At 32.8% G+C, this 21,767-nt stretch overlaps 2 protein-coding genes across 13 annotated transcripts in view, besides 1 other annotated feature; one reads left to right on the top strand and one right to left on the bottom strand.

Annotated features, from left to right (window-relative positions):
- The window catches only part of COG5 (component of oligomeric golgi complex 5), a 362,549-nt gene that overhangs the window by 78,338 nt on the left and 262,444 nt on the right, over window positions 1-21,767 (top strand). The gene's annotated exons all lie outside the window — the stretch shown is intronic.
- Window positions 6,013-6,213: a silencer, noted in NCBI's record as "peak6680 fragment used in MPRA reporter construct". NCBI's record gives its function as "represses an SCP1 promoter by STARR-seq MPRAs in K562 erythroleukemia cells {active_cell/tissue: K562}" and the evidence as "EXISTENCE:reporter gene assay evidence [ECO:0000049][PMID:32103011]".
- On the bottom strand, window positions 7,738-15,526 carry GPR22 (G protein-coupled receptor 22). 3 transcript variants are annotated; one of them, XM_011516056.4, is made up of 3 exons: window positions 15,138-15,526; window positions 13,184-14,211; window positions 9,899-11,548 (listed from the first exon to the last, which is right to left on the bottom strand). In XM_011516056.4, the coding sequence occupies exon 3, from the start codon at window positions 11,520-11,522 to the stop codon at window positions 10,221-10,223; it is 1,302 nt and encodes a 433-aa protein (XP_011514358.1). In that variant the 5' UTR covers window positions 11,523-11,548; window positions 13,184-14,211; window positions 15,138-15,526; the 3' UTR covers window positions 9,899-10,220. The 3 variants fall into 3 exon arrangements, with proteins under 3 accessions (XP_047276170.1, XP_011514358.1, NP_005286.2); NM_005295.3 differs by having other exon boundaries at window positions 13,281-14,211; XM_047420214.1 differs by having other exon boundaries at window positions 7,738-14,211.

The following is a 21,767-nucleotide window of genomic DNA, read 5'->3' as shown; positions in this document are numbered from 1 at the left end:
TTGTGTCACTAGATTCTGTGACATGTTATTCACTAAGTTTTTAGAAACATTTATGTAGTTTGAGAAGCTAGTTACATTGTAAAATTGGTAAGCATATGTGTTAATATAAATAGTACCCATAGAAGAATAATTGTATTTAAAATTGTCTTATTTCTTGTATTTGACAATGGTGATAAAACATTTGTGTAGTGTCTTTTATCATGTAGTTCAGAACACAGTTAGCTCTTATTGTATGCTCTAACTGTATCTTTGAATCAAATCATCAGTTTTGAGGATCAGAAATTTCAGGCAAAGTAGACTTTTCTTAAAATTAGTTAATGAAAGTTCAGTTCTTTAGCTTATTTCAGAATTTGGTAACAGCAACCTCTGCACAAAACAGAGTGGCATTCTCGAGATTTTAGTCTTCGCTTCAGCTCTGGTGGCTATTCAAGTTTTTGTTCTGCACTTAACCATTTCTCTGTCAATTATTTTCCCTAATTTTGTTGAGAGAGAATATTTATGGAAGGTATTTCTGAAGGTTATCAGTCCATGCTCCATTTCTCTTAATTAGTGAATCTCTGAAGGTCGTGGGGTAAGGGAAGGAGAAGGTAACTGTACTAGAAAACCTAGAGGCCATTTTTGTTTTTAAGACACTTGTCTTCTTTTCAGTTGGAGGTACTACCCTCCTCTTTCTACACAGTCTGATTGACCTCTTAGGTGTGTTACGAAATGATTCAAATCCACTGTTTTAACATTCAAGAATCTATCCCTGGATTAAACCAGAGTTGCAGAGGGTTTTATACCTAGACAACCATTCCCATCTAATTCTTTTTACTTAATTTCACTTTAGTTTGATGTTATTATTGTACATTGAGGAAAACTATAATCATTAGCTATGTGAGACTTCTTGTTGCCTTTTCTATAAGGTTGTTGTGGCCAGTGTTATACATTGAGGGATATAAGAAACAACCATGTGAGACTTAAGGTATCATTAAGTGTATATAGTTGTGGAATATATAGTTGTGGAAAACATTGAGAAGACCCATAGAGACATGGTAAGGCCCATGAGAGTCACTGCTCTCTGGTCTTAGTACCAATAGTTTGTACTTCTACTGAGCATCTAGGGAGTTTTTAATCTTACCAATGCTGAGACATGTAATCAGCTCCTTTTCCCTGTTTAAATGACCTAGTAGAAAGTATGTAGAATTCAAAGAAAGAGCCTAAAATAAAAATTAAAAAGAAATCATAAGGAGCAATTTGTGGCTCACCTCTTGTAAGAATACAGGACTTAATGATACAAGTATTGTTTCATTCTTTTCATGCTGTTTGCTCTGATTTTATTATTTTTTCATTTAGTTCAGTTGTGTCTAAAATTCTTAAAGTCATCTTGCTGGTAGCGTTGGTGCACGCCTGTCACCCCAGCCACTCGAGAGGCTGAGCAGGGAGGATTGCTTGAACCCAGGAGTACAAGGCCAGCCTGGGCAACCTAGTGAGACCTTGTCTCAAAAAAGAAAAATAAAATGCTAAAGTTATTTTATATTATCTTTAGGATAAGGGAGGATATATATAAATAAAATTATATCTAACATTTACCAGTTTTGCTTCCCTGCTTTCTTCCTAACACTGATGATGATTTTTATTTTAGTTTTGGATTACATACTCTTTGGAGGATCTTACTGAATTTGTGAATCTTTGTTCTAGGAAAAAAAAAAATGTATAACCATACCCGTGACATTTTGCATCTGATTTAGGGTACTTTATGAGACTCTAGGAAACCCTATACTAAAGCCACTGTTTATCTGGAATATATTACTTGGCAAATATTTTTCTATAACGTGGCCATATTCAGTCACCTGAATTATTGAGTTATGGTCTTTGTATCTTTTTTTTTTTTTTTAGATGCAGTTTTGCTCTTGTTGCCTCCCAGGCTGGAGTGCAATGGTGCGATCTTGGCTCACCACAACCTTTGCCTCCCAGGTTCAAGCGATTCTCCTGCCTCAGCTTCCCAAGTAGCTGGGATTACAGGCATGCACCACCACACCCGGCTAATTTTGTATTTTTAGTAGAGACAGGTTTCTCCATGTTGGTCAGGCTGGTCTCGAACTCCCAACCTCAGGTGATCCACCCACCTCAGCCTCCCAAAGTGCTGAGATTACAGGCATGTGCCACCATGCCCAGCCTTGTCTTTGTGTCTTTAAGTTGTATTCACTAGCAGCTGATTTTCAATAATGCTCATTTTCAATAAGTTGTGATAGGTTAGTTTCATGATTAAATCAATGAAAATACTAAAAACCAAAAGTAATAACAAAAGATAATATCGATGTGGTTGGAAAAAGTTCTTAGTGAAAGGGTTAATAAGAAATGTTCCTAGAGTAGTGTTTCCGTAATACCATTTGCGGCATTTATCAAGTATCAGTGTTACCTAAACTATTATAATACAGAATAGGAATTTAAAGGATGTCATAAAATTATCAAAGATTAGGTTGCTGTTTACTAAATTGCATTAATGGTACAAAGTAAATAATAACAGCAAAAGAAAAATGTTTGATTCAAACCTCTACCTAACCTGAATGGCATTTCTTCAAAACATACAAAATACAATTTGTAAGTATTTTCACTGCAAGTTTATTTTAGAAGTAATTCTTTTATGTCAGTTATGTTTTAGCGGAAGTTTTATAGTGAAATGAACAAAAATGTGCAAGAATAGTACTTCTGGTTTGAGTAAGAATTTTATGAAAAATAGTAGCCATGCAATTTTATAATTAATTGAGTAGTATGGTTGAGTGAAGTACATAACAGTTTATGGTGAATGTTTTGTGTTTGATAGCATTTTATCTTCTGAGAGTATATGGTTTTTAAAGGAAACTTTTGTCTAGATAACCTTGTTTAAAGAAACAACATTATATTTCTTAGAAATCTAATGTAGTACTGGATTATAGTATATATAATCCAACTAAAATTTAATCAGTTAAAATGAAGTAAATGGAGGAGTTTTTTTTCAAGAAGGCAGTACAGTCTGAATTAAGAGCTGCTTCTGTGCCTTTTCATTTATTACCTGAATATCACCTTGATACATAGTCTGTCTTCTGATATCTAAAGTAGTAATTGTTAAACGTCAGCACACAAATCACCTGAGAGTACTTATTAGAATATATATTGGTTGGGCTTGGTGGCTCACACCTGTAATCCCAGAACTTTGGGAGGCCAAGGCGGGAGGATTGCTTGAGACCAGGAGTTTGAGACCAGCCTGGGCAACATAATGAGACCCTGTCTCTACAAAATTTTTTTTTTTAATTAGCTGGGTATGGTGGTGCCTGCCTGTAGTCCGGGCTACTCAGGAGGCTGAGGTGTGAGAATCGCTTGAGCCTCAAGAGTTCGAGGCTGCAGTGAGCCATGATTGTACCACTGCACCCCAACCTGGGTGAGAGAGCGAGTCCCTGTCTCCCCCACCAAAAAAAAAAAGATTTTTTTTTCAGGACTGCAACCTCAGAGATTCTGACTCAGTAAGTCAGAGAGTCAGAGATGGGGCCCAGGAATTGGCATTTTAAAAAGTACCACAGAATCTCTGATAGAGGTGGACTACATTTTGAGAAACAACCTTCTAAACAAGATACAACAATAGGGTCTGAGGTTAAAAATTTGTTTTCAATTCCACTAATATTTACTTACCAGTCAGTATGTATCAGGTACTTTTTTGGGAGGCATTATAAAAGCAGTATAAAGGTATTATAAAAGTAGTGCGAAAGTACATTAGTATTACCAACTGTTATTGTATTGTGTGCATTTAAGACAGTTTTTATAAAGTAGGTAGCTACAGTTTGCTAGCATTTTGTTGTTTATAAGAAGTGATAGTTGGAAAAAATTTAACAGCAAAAGAAAAGACAAAGCTTTTTAAGAATTGAGAGTGAGACTTTTAAAGTACAGAGTATGTAAATTTGATATTTTATATTTCAACCTGTCCTAAGGCATTAGCAATATTTTGGATGAAATATATATCTTTGATTCTTCTTTACCCAATCAATATGCAGTATACCCAACCAGTGTACTCAGTTTATAGTATATGACGTATGGGATTGTGTGTAATATTACTGGCTGATTGAAGTATAAATATGTTAATATATAATTATTACCTCACTACAGTCCCATATGTATTTCTCACTCCTACAGTCTACGTTTAATATGGCCAGTGCTCTCATTTGTTAGCATTAATATTTTAAAATTTTATATTAAATTTAAATTTTAATTTTTCAAATCTTATGAGTATTATGTGTCCACAGCTGTCTGAGGGAAAAGCAGTTTCCCCATAACCTTGTCATCCTCGCTAGCCACTTTCTCTCTTCATCCTGAGAAATTGGTTGATGTGCTTTGGTAGTCTGCCTTGCTTAATACCTCTGAGAAAAATATGACATATTGCTCTCATGGAAGCAGGGTGATGAAAATGACCTCAATCCCAGACAGACTTAGCTCACCTCCCTTATCTTACTTGATGCTTCGGGGTTTGATAGTGGCAGGGAGTTGATATTGGTGTCAGTGACAGGAATGACAGCACATTTTACCACTTGCTGGTGCAAGTACAAAGCTGTCATATTTGAAAGCCATGGATACAGCTTATGGAGGCCTGTAGAAAATGTATGAATAGAATGGGAGAGACACGTAGGATTATTTTCACATGTTGTTTTAATATGAGCAAGGGAAGAAATATTATTGTGATTACGTTCACTTGGCTCTTTTTGTCCTGAAAAAAATGAGTATTTCTTAAAAGTTATGGCTTTTGTATTAGTGGTAAGCCCACTTTTCCATTTGTTTCCACATTTCAATGCCATTTTGTTCTAAATATCTGTAAATTGTAATATTTAATATTTATTCTGCTTGTTATGATGCATTGTTTGTTGTTATATTTCTAGTATGTGCAGCCTGTCAATGGGGGTGTCTTTTGCTTTTTCGAATGCTTTTTAGAAAAAAGTCAATCTTCAAATTAGTTTTCTTTTGTGAGCTCTAACCTACAATTCTGTATTCTATTCGTATTTCTCTAAGAGCTTAGCATCTTTGAATATTTTAGGTCTTTTTCCAGCCTCATCTGGGTTCTTTTATCTCCTTACTTTCTCTTTTACGATATGATCTGAACTTTTAAAATTTCTAACATTTATTATTGGTCAACTCATTTTTAACTTTCTTAGAGTTCACTGCAGTCCCTGAGTGGGGGCTTACATTCATGAGTACATACAAGTGCTCATCTGAGATACAAAGAAAATAGTTGGTCAAAGTTTACTTTAGTTTTCTTATTTCTCATCTTATTTAGTGAAAAGGATAAAAGAAATACATTATTTTATGGTTTTCCCATTGCTTCTTGCCGTCATTCTGAAATATAACCTTCTCAGTTGCCAAAGGTAACTTGGCTATTAAAAATTTTAATTTTTAATTGAAACTGAAAATGTGAATTTTCTAACATGATTTTGAAATACAGTTTGAAGCCACTTAAATGGACAGAAAAAGCTTTATTTGCCCTTTCATTACTATTATCCTTTAGAAATGTTGCTATTTTAAAACATTTTAATTAAAAACTGTTTTTATGTAGCCATTAACAAAGAATGAGGACGATATGTTTATAAAGAGTTGGATGGATGCCCATAATAAGTTATTCAGGGAAAAAAGCAAAGGATGACATTTGTGTGTTTCACTTCATATACATTGGTATTTTCTCACTGTGTATTTTTATAGTTAAAATAGTTGTTAGAAAATATGTGTTTAATGGAAAAATGGAATGAACCAATTGAAAAATATATAAAATAGATAATTTAAAACGTCAATTCGAAATTTTCATTCTGAATAGCTTCTAATAACTAGAACATTATTTAATGTTATTTTACTTCATTGAGTTTTCCGCCTTGCCAGATATTCTTTTTGTTTTTGCCTGTGTTATCAATGTAATTTATGCAAAGCATAATTAAATAGTTATTTGAGTATTGCGGGTAATCTGTTTCTTATGGTCTTCCTTATGGTCATCATTTTTAATTCTTCAGTCTCTTATGCCAGTTTTCTTTCCTAGCTAGTTAGTAAATATTGACTCTGCCTTCACGTTGCCTGTCACATCTGTACACTCCCTTGTCAAGCTAGTGCCATCACTTTTTGCCAGGCCTTTCACTAGCTATGAAGGTGATGGCAGCAGCTTCCTATCTTCTGTGTCTCATCAATTCTGTGTATTGCTGCTTTATTTGTTTTTTTGAAGCTCATTTTTTCACCTTGTAATTCCCCTGCTCAGATACCTCTTCTAGCATAAGATAGAAGGCTTTCTGTCTTATGACCCAAATTTAACTTTCTAGATAACTTCTCGCTACTGTATTACCTTTCTTCCAAAGAACAATTTGCTCTTCCAGAATATGCTGCAGCAGCTTTATTCAGCAATGTTTTTCTTTTTACTGTTCTTAAATTCAACATGATCCCTTTCTTCTAAAGTCTATTAAGAACTTTATTCTTCTTTTATAGTATTTACCACATCTACCTCTGATTTTAGGTAATGCCATACTTTTTAATACCTTGACTCTAGATTTTAAGCTCTTGAGGGTAATGACTCTTTCATATAATTCAAAGTATCTGCCAAAATGCCTCTTTTCTGTAAGATTTTAAATGCTAATTGAATCACAAAGCTTACTTAATTGTGTAATCATGAAATGCAATAAAATTAAAAGTTTTATTGACTTTGGGAGGTAGCCTTGAAATACTATGTGGAATAAGCCCTACTAAGGTCCTGTTTTCTAATGATTTTAGATTTTTTGACCCTTAAGTCTAATTTCAGTTCAATGAGGAATCTGGTTTTTAATGCCCAAGGAACTGAGATTTTGCTACACATTTGTTCCCCCCTTATCTTCAGGTATACATCCCAAGACCACCAGAGGATGTCTGAAACTATGGATAGTATTGAACCCTATATATAGTATATCATGTACTATGTTTTTTTCCTATACATACATAACTATGATAAAGTTTAATTCATATATTAGGCACAGTAGGCTATAACAACAACTAATAATAAAGTAGTACAATTATACATAAATTTATAAATAAGTTTAAATATAACAATTTAAAACTTATAAATTGTTTATTTCTGGAATTTTCCATTTAATATTTTTGGACCACAGAGTTGACCATGCTAACTGACCATGGGTAACTGAAACTGCAGCAGGTAAAACCATGGATAAGGGGAGACTACTGTTATTTTAGTTAAAGGATGAAAGAATAGAACATACAACTAAAAATTGACTTGGGTCAGAAGTACAGAATTATCATGAATGGCCCTTTTAAAAGACATATAATTATAAATAATTCTACCTTCACAATAAGTTTGAACATTTGTTCAGTAGTAGTTGGTAGAGTAACAGCTCCCTTAAATTAACACACAAAACAAAGCAAATAAAATTTACCACATCTTGTTGAGCTCATCTTTGGTTGGTATTTAAAATACTATGCGGAATAAGCCCTACTAAGGGCTACTAAGGGCTTCTTATCCTTTGGAAGAACTGACCCAATTAACTATGTAGAAATTGATATCTATGCCTATGATTTATGATATATGGATAGAAAAATTTAGTCTGAAGAAAGGTCCCATATTGAGTTTATTGTTGCCTCTATTGCTTTTGCATTTTTAATTTTTTCATTCTAACAGGAAGAATTAGCCTTAATGCTTTTTTGAGCAAAATTATTTGAAATAAAGTGAAAAATTCACACATTGTAATGAAGACCAACGTAAAGAAAATAGAAATATTTCGTCTTTTCATAGAACAGATGTTTAATACAAAAAGTTGTCTAAGCTTCTCATTCTCACATTTAAGCTGAGGTCAGTAGTTGGAAACATAGTTGTGACTTGTTCTTGAAGCTAAATTTTTAACACATATTATTTTGGTTTACATATTATATACTACTTAGCACATTAAAAAGCTGTTAGAAGTTTTCTGATAGGTATGAGTTTTCTTTGTCGTAAATCAGTTGATGCACTTTTGTATACCTGAAAGATCATTACGGATGGTCAACAATGCTTGTTAAATGTCTGCTTCAGTGTCAAGTATAGAAATGATAGCAGTTTAAAGGGCAATATAATATTTACCATTTATTTCTTATTTAATTTCTTATTACAGAGGACAAGAAGGCATGAAAGCAGTTTAGACAAATATATTAGAAATCTCTTTTTTATACTGAGTTCTTTGGCATAGTTATAAACCTGAAGAGTAAAAATATTTAAAACACAAGGGAGTTTTTCTTAATATGAAGGTTCTAAAAATAGTCTAATTTTTATTGAGATTATAAAACTAGATATTAAAATTTTAATTTATGCTTGGGAGTCCAATTATAAAATTCATTTTTTAAATTCTTAAATGAAGATATTAATGAGCTTGTTTTATTTCCTGGGGTAAAAAATAAAAGAAGATTAGGAGCTGGTCTGTGCCAAATGTATTTACTAAACGAAAATTTTCTTAATCCTTTTGTGCCTGAAGTGTTAATTTCTCTTTGGGGTTTCAAAAAATATCTTACTTGCTTATGCTACATTTTGTCAAATTGAAGCATTTTTTTAAATTCCAAAAAACAGTAGAAAATAAGACAGAAGGAAATTGGGCTTTTGCCAAGATTTGACATTATGTTAACATTATTATCAGAAGTAAATTACTATTTAATTTGTCATGTAACCTTAGTGAGTTCAAGCTACTGCATGGTATTCATTTCTCCAAGGATTAGGGTATTCAGTAAACTAGACTGGATAAATCTCATTTATTTATATAAAAGTGATATATTATTGAATTTTTAGACATTTAATATTTTCTTTAAAAATGAATTGCTACTTGGTTTAGTGGATACAGTTTCAGAAAATAGAATAAAAGTTGTTCAGCTGACCAATTACAATGCAGTATTTTCCTATTTTAAATAACTTATTGCTAAATTTCTGATAGTGATATTGACACTTATCGATAGATTATTACATTATAACAATTGGAAAATATTTGTTTGATATGAGGTTCCCAATTCTTGTAATCTGTAGTTAGGGTTAGTAATTTCATGATTTTCCCACATGAATTGAGGGTGGGAGAGAAAAATGCCTAAAGTTAAATTAAGTGATGGTACGGTAGAAAAGTGACAAGACTTATTGTTACCTTAGTGATTTCAGTGTGGAAATAAAACAACTCATTTTGAATTACTTGGGAGCTATGATTTGGTGGGAACATTGTATAAAGTGTATTACCCTAAAGTTGTATGTATCTAATATTAGAGGCTTTGTTAGACTTTTCTATAATGATTTAAAGTCTTTTTTTTTTCATTCCTGGTATTCAGATTTGGGTAGTTAACTTTCTATTATACAAAAGAGCTGAGTTGAATAAAGTTAGGAAGTCAGCTTATTTTGATGTACTGTTCTTTTTTTTTTTTTTTTTTTTTTTAAAATCATTGCACTATATTAATCCAGAGCATTTGGCTTAGACTTAAGCAAAGTGAGGAAGGAAGAAAGAGGCTGGTGTTTTAGTATTCTTCCTTCCCTTTAGTTTCATTTCATTTGTATATTATAGGCATACTGTCCTTGAACTTAGAAAATCAATCTTTTTTTTCCTAGTAAGCATGAATTTTAAAGTTTCTCTATTTTGGTGTGTATACAGAGGTTTTTTTGGTTCATTAATTTTAAAATTTTGATAAATTCTATGATTTTTTACATTTAAAAGAATAAAGCTTCATACGTACTTAATTATTTGTGATGCATCAAATATAGCAAATACACTATACCAGGAAACATAGCATAGTGGTATGGAAAATACTGGATTGTTTTGAGCCCATAATTTTGGTTTTTAGATTAAAATGCTACTCCAGTTGTAATCTAAATATATCTGTAGTTTGTGGCTTAGAAACAATGCATTTTAACTTAAAAAATAAAGCAAGGATACCTATGTCAGTTACATTTTAAAGTTATACACTGTTTTAAGGCTATGTATTTATTCCTTAAAAAATATGACTTACATGAATATTTTCTGTTGGACATAATATTGACAAAATATACACATGATAGTACTTTAACAAACTGCCATGCAACAAATACATTAAGTAATGAAGAAATTGAATATATATGACCTATCTAATTGACATTCACATTGAAAATTTACAACATAACCAATACTTAAAATATTTTTCTTATATTTGGCAGTAATATCAGTTTTTACAATTTAAATTTAAAACTCATTTGAATGTGGATTTGGTGAAACTGAGACTTTTCTCTAGTCTGTGACAACCTGAGGCACTAAACATTTTTCTCTTATTTCACTATCTTCAAAGGTAATTTTTTTGTTTCTTTTAGGATCTATCCAAGAGTTGTGTATTACAGCATTATTAGGCAGGGGATCAGCTTCTACTATAGAAACAACTCGCTTTTTCATTTTACTTTTCAAGACCTTTTGAAATTTTTGTCTAGTGAATGCATATAATAGAGGGTGAAATATAGTTGTTCCATAAGCCATGACTAAAAAACACAATCTTAATTTTACTAAAAGGTCACTTGGGCCTAAACATAAAATGGTGGTATTTAAAACAGAAATTGGTGTCCAGCAGAGAAGAAATGTAGAAATAATCAATAAAGACATCCTGAAGACTCTCTTTTGTCTTTCTCGTCGTTCACGGTGTCGTTTCACAGCTCGCCGGAGGGCAATTATTACAGAAACTGAAGTTCTTACACCAAAGACTACATTTCTCCCACCACTGCTTTGTGACATGTCTGTAGCCTCATGTTGTGTGGTTAGAGAAATTGTCTTTTTCTTTCTTGCTTTCTTCTTCTGCCCTGTTGAAAATCTTGTGCCTATTCGAATATTAAGAGCCTGAAGTATTTTGGTGTATGTGATTAACATTACTACAACAGTGAAAAAGAATATTGGGATCTGTACTAACAGGTGATAATACATTCCCAGTTCAGTGTAGTATTCATTTGTACTGACACATAAAAGTGTCTTGTTTTCCCAGGTATTTCCACTTTGAAGACTGAAAAAATTTACCTCAATAAAAGGAATCAGGAAAGAGAAAAAAGAAAAAATCCAAATGGATATCATTAACATTACAGCTCTGCCCATTGTCAGAATTCGGTTTGCAGGTTTTACAGAGATGTCATATCTGTCCAAAGTGATAGCAAAAACGTTGATTGCTGTTGAGACACTTGCAAAAGATACACAAGCCTCATGGAAACAGCAAATGAGAGCAGTGTTACTCTCCAGTGAAAGCAGAAGGATAACTATAGTTAGAGGAATACATCCCACACAAATTATTACATCAAGTACATGAAGATTCATTGTAATAATGTTACTGACAGAGTTGATTAAGTTGGATTTCATGCAGTAAAGTACCAATACAGTGAGGTTGCTGCCAAGTCCCAACACAATTTCTAACATAAGAAATCCGGTGAGAGACACTTGAAAGCTTAACGGATATGATAGTGGTTGGTACATATTGGTGTTGATGTCATCAATGTCATCTCGCACTGTAATGTTAGATTCAGACTGCATGTTGATTTCCAGAATGGGAGAAAAACACATTCTTTTGGAGCAGTTGGTTTTTTTCCCTAGAAAGTGAAATAGAATAAACTATTTGATATTTGGCAATTTAAATGACGTATAACGTGTTCTTTGTAAGAAAAAAAATCTTTCAATTGTGTACTTAGTTTAATTTTTAAGTTTGTAAACTATTAATAGAAAATGTAGAATTAAGAACCATCAAGTTTGCATTGTTTTGATATAAAAGAAAATTGTGTTTTCCTTTTGAAGAAATAACTATGGAAATTGTTCCTCTGTAGTGCAAAGTTAATATGCTAAAGGGCTTTTCTCATTTGAGTATTTCAAGCTTATTATTTGAGATAAAGTGTATTTTTGTATGATAAAACTTCCTAGCATACAAAATTAATTTCAGCCCAGTGTCTTAAAATTTCATTTAAATGTTGTGAGTAGGTACCAAATGAATGCTATTTTAATATGCTCTAGCATAATGAGTGTAGGTGTAATTATTCCTGTGAGATTTCAAATGAACAGGACAAGTGTTCATTTAAAATGACAAATGGTACAGAGCACTAGTTTAAGATGCTTTATCCATGTTGATTGAATTCATATTCAGAAGTCAACAATGTGCTTGGTGATATTTGGGGTTATTTCCCACAGAAATAGGCCAGTGATTAATATTTTACATATCACAGTTACAATGCTCACTGAACTTTGCAGTTGGCAAACTTAAAAATTAGAAGAAGTGGGACATTATGCTAAAATAAAAAGCTACAAAGCTTGGTAAAAGAGCATTAATCACTCCTATGAAATGATTTATTTTGTGACCACACCCTCTTGTATCTTGTGGAAACAGAAAATTGAAATTTAATATCACATTAAGAAATAGCCATTTTTGAAGTAGTTTAAAGGAATATATCAGTTGACATTGTTTAAACTGAGTTTTTAAAGTAAAAGATGAAATTTTAGGGAAAAGGAGTATGTGAAGCCCGTTTTTTGAGGAAGCTTTTAAAGTTACACATTACCTGTGAAGCCTTTTGTATATATCACCCATTGTCTAATTTTGAAGAAAAATTAAAAAAAAATACAAACGCTTTTGCTAATTCATGCAAATCTATATTTTAATATATAGGGGTTTAGAATAATTTGTAAAAAATAATGTCTAATGTTCTGGGCTAAAATGTCAGTTAATCAGTATATTCATTTTAAAATATGAACTCATACAACCAACTATATTTCACATTTCAAATACAGCATTTCAACTGCAAAATCATATTCAACATAAATTATAAAAGCTAATAATTTTCAAAATTCATGTTAACTTTCACTTAATGTTATATTTGACAAGTTTTAGAATACAGTTTTATTTATGAACTTTTTTGGGAATAATATTGCAGAAACACAAATGGTAACATTATTTCTTTTGAATTAGTATGAAGTATTACTAGAGGTATATTTATTCGAGTAAGTTAAGGTCTTAGCTAACATTGAAATCCTATAAAAATGGAAAATTTTAAGTGTGCCAAATTTTCTGAACTGACAGATTAAACATCAGGTCTTTGTCACATCAGTTAGATTTATAATTAAATAAAGCAGAAATGTCAAGTTAAATGATGATTAAGAAAAATACATTTTCTCTAGAGCAAGATTCTGTTCTTTCGTAAATGTTAAACAGTGTGGTGGGGTGCATGCATCTTCTGACCTACCTGTTTGCTGTTGCCTTATGGGCCTTTTGGTTCACTATGACAGTTTTTGGCAAATTGATACATGATATCATTGACAGATTTTGACATGAATTTTTACCTGACAACAGTGAAGTAGCTGTGTTTTATTTCATGTCTTGTAGGAATTCTTTCGTTTTCTCTCCAATACTTCAACTGCATGCATTATGAGATTTAGTTGGCTGATGGATTTCTAAAGAACAGTACATAATATTTGTATTTGTTTTGCTTTAAAAAGTCACGGCCAAGAGGAATTTCCTCAGATGATAGGAATTATGTTTCCCTTTGATGGAGTACATGATAATATTTCTTTATTTTCCAGAATATGTGAAAACAAAAAAGGAAACATAACGTTTGTAGCTTCTAAAATATATTTAGACATCCTTTTGTTACCATTGTAAATCTGTTTTTAATAGCAGTGCTCACTATTTTGAAATGATTTCTTGATCACATAACTTGCTTTATATTATAAATCCAGGCCATGTCCTTTTGATAAAAACCATCTGCTGTTTAATTTTGTTTGTTTTCATTAGAAGAGGATACATAATTGGTCATAAAAGTCAGATAGAAAAATCCATTAGTCATACCAATTGATATGAATATCTGAATATTTAGTGCAGAAAACACTTCCTAAATCTTCCTTTTGTGTGCTGATAAAGTATTTTCTTTTCTTTTTGGAAATTCATGTTTCATTATGTCTTCCAGAATCAGTAACTTCCACAATTCTGGTATATGAAAGTATAAACTTCCCCTTTTAAAAATTCTTTTCAGGCTTTTACAGTTATATTGTTTTTCTTTTTGTGGTTATTTTATGTAGCATCTTCTTAGGATACAGTTGATTTTTTATATTCCATCAGTAATGTAGACCTATTCCCTGGTTTTAACTCCTTAATGTCTTAAAGTCGTGTTACAAGAACATCTTGCAGTTCGTAGTTCAGACAGCTAGGGAGATGCTCAGTCAATTGCATTCTTCATATTGTCAGTTGTAAATACTGAATTAGCTGCTATTGGCCCTTGTGAAAAGAAGAAAATTGGTTAAGAAATAGGGTTTTTAATAATTTGTAATTAATTGCAAGTTACTTTAGTTTTGTTTAAAAACTATCCAGTATTTGTTATCAAAATAACCAAACTGTTATTATTAGAGCCACAGCTATATGCATAAAATTGTTTCTTTAAATAAGTCTTTTTTCCTAATAAAGATTGTATATATTATGTTATTTAACAATAGAGTTCACATTTCAAATACAATTGTGAGAGAAAAGCTATATTTTTTAAAACTAATTTCTGCTCTCATTTTAGAAGCTAACCTGTATTTTCAGAGATGATGAACAATTAGCATACACTAAACATACTGTTATTTCTTCTTTGTAATAAATTTAACAACATTTTTTGCTCTAAAAATATTGTAACTTGCCTAATTATTAGCACATGGTTTGAATTTTAACTCATTAAAACAGATTTCATAAGATACTATAAATTTCCATTGATGAATTGTTCATGTGGTTGAAATACAAAAGGTAATAAAAATTGTAACTGCAAATTAATTTTCAGTGAACATGCCAAATAATAAACTTAACATAAAATTAAGTAATAAGTAACAGCAAAATAGTAAACCTAGTTCTTTTAAGAAACAGAAGCATTTTTGAAACACTGGAGAAAAACTGTACTGATTACATTAAGAATATTTAGTATATCTGAAGTGACTCAAAAGCTGTCTTCATAATGAATTTACAAAGAATATTTGTATTTAACAATGCATCCTAAAAAATTACATTTAAAATGTAGCATGTCTTAAAAGAAATAGATCTTAAAATACATGTCTAGCAATAAGTAGAATTAAACAAACTCTTAAAATTTAGGCTGAAATTTTTCAAAGTAATTTTTACCCCACTATGCCGGTTCAAAAGCAGCTGTATACTATAATAGGAACAAATCTTACCTCTGCTAAAGATTTGATAAATTCTTGATGTAGTTGAAGCATTTCCAGTTTGGATTGATTCATTTTGTTCACTTGTTAGTAGAGGACTGGGGGAAGAGGGTCATAAACATCTCTTCGAAAATGACCTTAATGAAAATATGTGTCTGTAGTGTGCCATTGTTTCAGCAGTACTGCTAATGTATGGAACATGTAGTGCTGCTTAGAGGCTGCTGCAGTCTCTCACTCTTCCTACTGTGGAATCAATAAGCATCTGAAAATACATAATGAAAGTAATTTAACATACTGAAGGCTTCTTGTCTCCAGAGACAACATTTAGATTCAGTCTTTCTAAAAAGGAACGGCACTGCTTTTCAGAGGAAAGCCTGTTCGGGCAGCTTTTGCAGAATGACAGCCTACCTTGTCGCTTCTCTCCACTGCAGAGAGATGCAGTGTATTCACTAATTTTGATTGGTCAGTTGTATTGGGCTTAAACTGTGCTTCATATGTATAGCAGGGATTTCCCCCGCTCCCCACTGTTTTATATAAAGGACACTTTTAAAAAGGCTAAATTTATGAGTGGTTGTATGTTGTTCTTAAATAGAATATGTGTAAATTAGTATTTTAAAAATGTGTATTCTATTCTGGTTTGTTGGTCACTTATGCCAAACATTAAAAAAAAATGCAGGGAGGTGGGGGAACAGGAAAGAATTACATAGTAAAAAGTATATATGCTTTCTAAAGCCTTGATAATTGCATTTGAGAATATTTTAGTCATATATAGGTTTTTGATTGAGATTCTTTGTTCTACAAATAGAAACCCACTGCATCTTTACTGTGAGCCACAGTGAATTTTAAATAGTTTGTTTGTATTCAAGTCATCTTCTCTGGGTATTCCAAATTGTTGTGAGCATCTCAAGGTGTTAAACATTGTCATGACTTCAGTATTCATTCATTTGGGTATTCATTCATTTCATTCATTCATTCATTCAAAATAATAATCAGATTGACCTAAGGTGATAATACCCTAAAATATTTTTTAAACATTTCATTATAGTAGCTTAGTCTCGGGTATAAAACTTCAATCAGTAATCATTGTATTACTTTTGGAGATTACTACTTGGTCTTCACCTTTCATAACCCTTTTATTTGGTAGATGTATACTGATCATTTGCTATAATATTTTATTTCAATTGGCTTATTCTATTTTTGACCTGGGCACATTTCTTAGTAGATTGCTGTTTCTTAAATATGATATGTAGCTACACGCTAATATTGTTAGTAAAATATTATTTTAAAGGATAAAGTAAGTTACATGTCTTTATAAGTTATAAAGCCAAATCATTATAAGATAGATACATTTTCAAAATGAAAATAATGGTACAAGTACTGAATATTTAAAATTAAATATTTAAATATTTAAATTAAAAATTTTAAATTAAATTAAATTTAAATTAAATTTAATATTAAAAATAAAATTAAAATATTTAAAATTAAATTTCTGTTAATTTTAGTTACCTATAAATAAGTTCCTGTTTTTAATGATGAGGATAAATTTCTTTTAGACTTAAGTAGATAAAACAGCTGGACTCTGTTGACAAAATAGAGGACATTACATGTGGCTAAACTGTTAGAATGTTAATTATCACCTGTTTCCATTATTTTAGGAATATTTAGTGACCTTCATTTTTCAAAATGTATACTGGTTTTTATTTGCAATTGGAACTATTCTCTTATTATTTGAAAAGCCGTATGCATTTTTATAATCTTCCACTGGTAGTGTTGAATCTTTATAGGGGAATAGCTGACCAATATGAGTTGTGAGTTGCATTTCTATAGAAGTTGAGAGTAATATGGTGGAAAATTTTGTTGTGAATTTCTAAAATCTTCTGCACAGCTTTGGGTGGCAAGGCTTTGGTAATTCTAAAAATGAAAATGTTGTGCTGCTATTCATGCGTTTTGAAAGTTGGGGAAAAGGATCTTGCTAGAATGCCAGCCATTTATAAAGAAAACTTACACACACCGAAACACACACACACACACACACACCACAGCACACACATTCATTTAAGCTTAAAACTAAGACCAGAGAAAGCATAGCATCAGTGGAAATATGTGATGGGGATGAGGAGATTATTAACACAGCAGAGTGCTTTTCTGCCAGAGTTCAAGTATTTGCTTATGTTTATCATCAGAATATCCCCATGAAGTAGAAGAAACAAAGGTACAGAGAAATTTACTGACTTGAAAGGGTCAAGGTAAGTTAGCAGCAGAGTCAATGTTAAAACTGCAAACCACGCTGTACTAGGCGGTTGGCCTTCTCTCTTTGGAAAATTATGAAGGTCTTGGGACTTAGAATTGGATAATCTAGATTTAGTTGCTATTTATTACCTATATAACTTTTGGCAAGTCAAACATCCTTTGGGTCAACTTTGATTCCTTTTGTTGAAGTATATTTTTGTGCTTTGTTTAACTCTTTGTGAGACAGTGTTTTCAAGTTATATTCAGATTATTTCAAAAAAACAAAATCTGGGGTTTCTGAGCCATAATGGTAGCTCGAGCACAGACAGTGCTCTTTATTTTCTGTATGAGTAACTTGTCTCCAAGGATAAATAAGATATCACAAACTTTTTTTATTGTGTACAGTGCTTAGTATAATTTTATTTCCTTTTTAAAAACCACAAATTGGTGATTAACAAGGTATGCCGAAATCTTAACAAGGTAATTCCAACTTCCCCTGTTTTTAACAAATATGCAAATATCTCAACTACTGATTGAGAATCAGATTATATTATTTTCATGAAAAAAATTAATTACAGACCGGGTGCAGTGGCTCTCACCTGTAATCCCAGCACTTTGGGAGGCTGAGGCGGGTGGATCACTTGAGGTCAGGAGTTCGAGACCAGTCTGGCCAACATGGTGAAACCCTGTCTCTACAAAAAATACAAAAATTAGGCATGGTGGCACAAGCCTCTAGTCCAGCTCCTCGCGAGGTTGAGGAATGAGAATCGCTTGAACCTGGGTGGCAGAGATTGCAGTGAGCTGCGATTGCACCGCTACCCCTCCAGCCTGGGCAACAAGGTGAGACTAGGTCTCAAAAAAAAAATAATAATAATTTCAGATTATCAATTTATGAAGATCCTTGTTTCCGTAGTAACACTCACACTTGTGCATTTAATATATTTTGTGCAATTAATATAACCTTTATATACTAACCTAGGAGAGCAGTTTGACTTCCTAATAATAACTAAGCACTAGATATGATTCTAACCCCAAAATACAGCTCAATTAAAATCCTTTTTTAAAAGTCGTGCTTTTCTTTTTAGTTATAAATATTTTAATTGCATATCTGTTTTAATTCCTCCTATGGGAAGTCTCTAACTAATTTTATGTATTTGTTTTCTTAAATTTTGACAACCGTGACTATGACAGAGTAATTTATTGTATATTTACATTGTACTATTCATATCAAATCATTCTTACCCAGCTTGTGGCTAGTTCTGATGCCACAGTTTTGAAGATTCTCTGAGTTTGTAAATAAAAACTCAGCTTTGTGAAATATTGGAATTCACCATAACTGAAAGTACTTTGAAACAATTTTAAGGTATCTATGTACAAACAATTTTTAATTGCTGAAAATCAGTTTTAAGCTGTATTGCGACAAGGGTCCTTTTTCAGTGGATACTTAGCGTAGTAAACCTTGAACTCTCTCTGATACTGGAGCCCATAGAAAAAAGGTTTATTTTGCTTTAATGCCAATTCAGAGATTTTATTTGGCTTCTCAACTTTACATTTCTTTCACAACAAATACTTTATCAGAAAAATAGAAATGGACCATCTGCTGAACTTCCATCAAGTGGGGAGTAGCAGAAGTCGTAGAGAATCAACAACATTGGTGATTCATTTTCTATATGAGAATAACTGAATACTGATTATATTTGATAAAGCACATGCATCAGAATTGCATACACTTAACAGATAGAAAATCCAAAGCCATTCTTTCCCATCCTTCCCTACTTCACCTAAATTGGGCATTTACGTTTTTTTCATTTTTATTTTTCACACTGTGTTTGTAAGTCATTTGCCAGTATCACATACATTATAAAAGTAAATACATGGCATTTCTTGCCATTTTTCCATCCATACCTACACTTTGGATCCTGTGACTATTATTACAATTTATCCTCCCTCTGTTGCACAACTGTTGGCATGTCTACTTTGGGGCTTTGTCCAAATTATTACCTTCATGTCCAGTTTTCTGGTTTACTGTTTTGACTGCTTACTATCCCTCTTTGCCTTCCTAAATATTATGGATTTTATTGATGTTTTTCTCTTATATTTTCATCAAGGAACTACACAAATAGCCATGTTTGTGCTCCATCACCCCATTGATTTCTCTTTTCTCTTGCTTCCTTTTTTTCTTTGCATAATTCTCTTACTCTTAAGTTATGCAGAATCAAATTAATTTTGTGTCCTGAGGCCAAGTCCATTGATCAACTAGATTACATATTTAACAAAGCTGTGTCAAGTCCCCTGTTTTGTGCTGTTATGACTCTTATGCTGTGCTGGGGGACATAGCTGACTGTCTACAATCTAGTGCTCTGTTATTGATACTAGTTAGATACATAACATTTTTGTAAGAAGGCTGCCATTCTTTATATAAAGAGCCTGAGAATGGCAGAGTTTTACTATAGGCTGTAGTTCTACTATAAACTCAGTAACATCCACTATACTACTTGAGTCATCCATTTGGGAAAATGAATGCATTTTAAGAGTTTAATTAATAATTCTTAAAGACTGTAATCACTGGTGTCTTTCTGCCAGGTATATTCAGCAGTGTTTCTTCAGTTACTCCTACCTTCTGATCTCTGTTTAGGGGTGCAATATCTATAAAAAGTCCTGCTGTTATTTTGATTGGTATTGCAGAGAATCTGTAGATCAGTTTGGAAAGAAATGACATCTTAACAGTATTGAGTCTTCTAACTTATGAACATAGTATCTCTACTATTTTTAGGGCATTTTACATTTATTTCGTCAATATTTTGTAGTTCTTGGCCTACAGATCCTGCACATATTTTGTTAGATTTGTATTTAATTATTTCTTCAGTACTGTTGAAGTAGCACCTAATTTTTTAAAAAAATCCAATTGTTTATTGTTAGTATATGTAATTAGGATCATATTGAACTCATATCCTGCAACTTTACTAAATTCATATATTAGTCTTGGGAGTTTTTTGTGTGAATTCCATGGTATTTTCTATATAGACAATTGTCTGCAAATAGAGATAGTTTACTTTTTCCTGAAACATGTGAGACTTACTTATATTCTTGCCTTCTTGTACTGCCTAGGACCTCTGGTATTAGGTTGAATGGGAGTGTGTTGGGAGAAACAATCCCCATAAGCCCTGAATATCCCTGAACATTCTTGCCGGATATGCTGAGAATGCAAAGCCCTAACAGAACTACCCTTTACTCCATCCATTTCTCAGGAAGGGGTTGTAGCTAGCAACCTTGAGGAATGAAGTAATGACACCCTAGACAAATAGAATGCAAGCAGACTTGCTTTTCTTTGTTATAAAAATGGCAACTTTCCCAAGCTCAGTGCTCTTCAGCTGTGAAAAAACCCGTAGTATACAGAGCATCCACAGTCCCTTTGCCAGGGACTTGGAGGGCAAGGTGAATTTTCACTGATATCATGCTCATACTGCTTGCTGCATCATGGGTAATACAGTTCTTTGGTTCGGACCCAGGCATCTTACATCTTATGTTAGCATCCATGAAACAGTAACAGGCTAGCTTCACAGCTTATAAATAGGGTAGAATCCCAGACCCTAAACAATTTTTGACATTTTTGGCTACAAGCATATGATGTTGACAGAGATAAGGTTTCCTGAAAGAGAAATGACAGGGCTCTTATGGGCTGGTTTAGAGGATATGAGACCAGTAGCGAATGCTCTTGTTTAAGTGGTGGGGTAGTAGTACAGAGTAAGAGTCTCCTAACGACCTGCCTGTTAATGAATTTTTTGAGGCTAAGCAGTGAGGGGTGGAAATGAATGAAGCTTCTCAAATAGTGCCTTGGTTATTGCTCACTCTCTAGGCTGGAGGAGGAAAAATTATTATTATATCAACAAAACAGCAAGCCTCAGGGCCCTAAGGCAAAAGGCAGTATGGCTGTAGCTGCTGAATGAAGGGCTTCTGAGAGCTAACATAAAAGATGTCAGCAATGAGGATGTGGAGCTTTGGGTAGACTAAGTATATTATAAGTTCATTTGTGGAGTCTGAGTGGGCAGCCACTTGAAATTGAATGTAAATGCAGTCTTGCTGACTGGTACATAGCTGCTCTTTTACTTTGTGGACTCCCATTTTTCTCTACCCCCTCTATTCTAACCTCAGCTGCTTAAGATAAAAGCCAAATATGGTAGGGAACCTTAGGGAGGGAGAGAAATTCAGACTTTTTTTTAGCTCTGTTGAATAGAGATGCTCAATTCGCCATCCTACGTGGTCCTGTGGGAAAAAAGCACAGTAGGTGTCAAGGTAGGCTGAAGGCACTGAGGACTGCAGGGTGGAGTTCTAGCAGCATGCACAGGGGCAAATTAGAGACCCCTAGGCCCAAGCACTTCCAGGAGCACAGCGTCACCCTGGAGTGAGAAACCA

This window comes from Homo sapiens, chromosome 7, assembly GCF_000001405.40.
Source record: "Homo sapiens chromosome 7, GRCh38.p14 Primary Assembly".
NCBI classification, from domain to species: Eukaryota; Metazoa; Chordata; class Mammalia; order Primates; family Hominidae; genus Homo; species Homo sapiens.
Note: the sequence above shows the minus strand (reverse complement) of the source record. Positions and strands in the feature narration are given on the sequence as shown.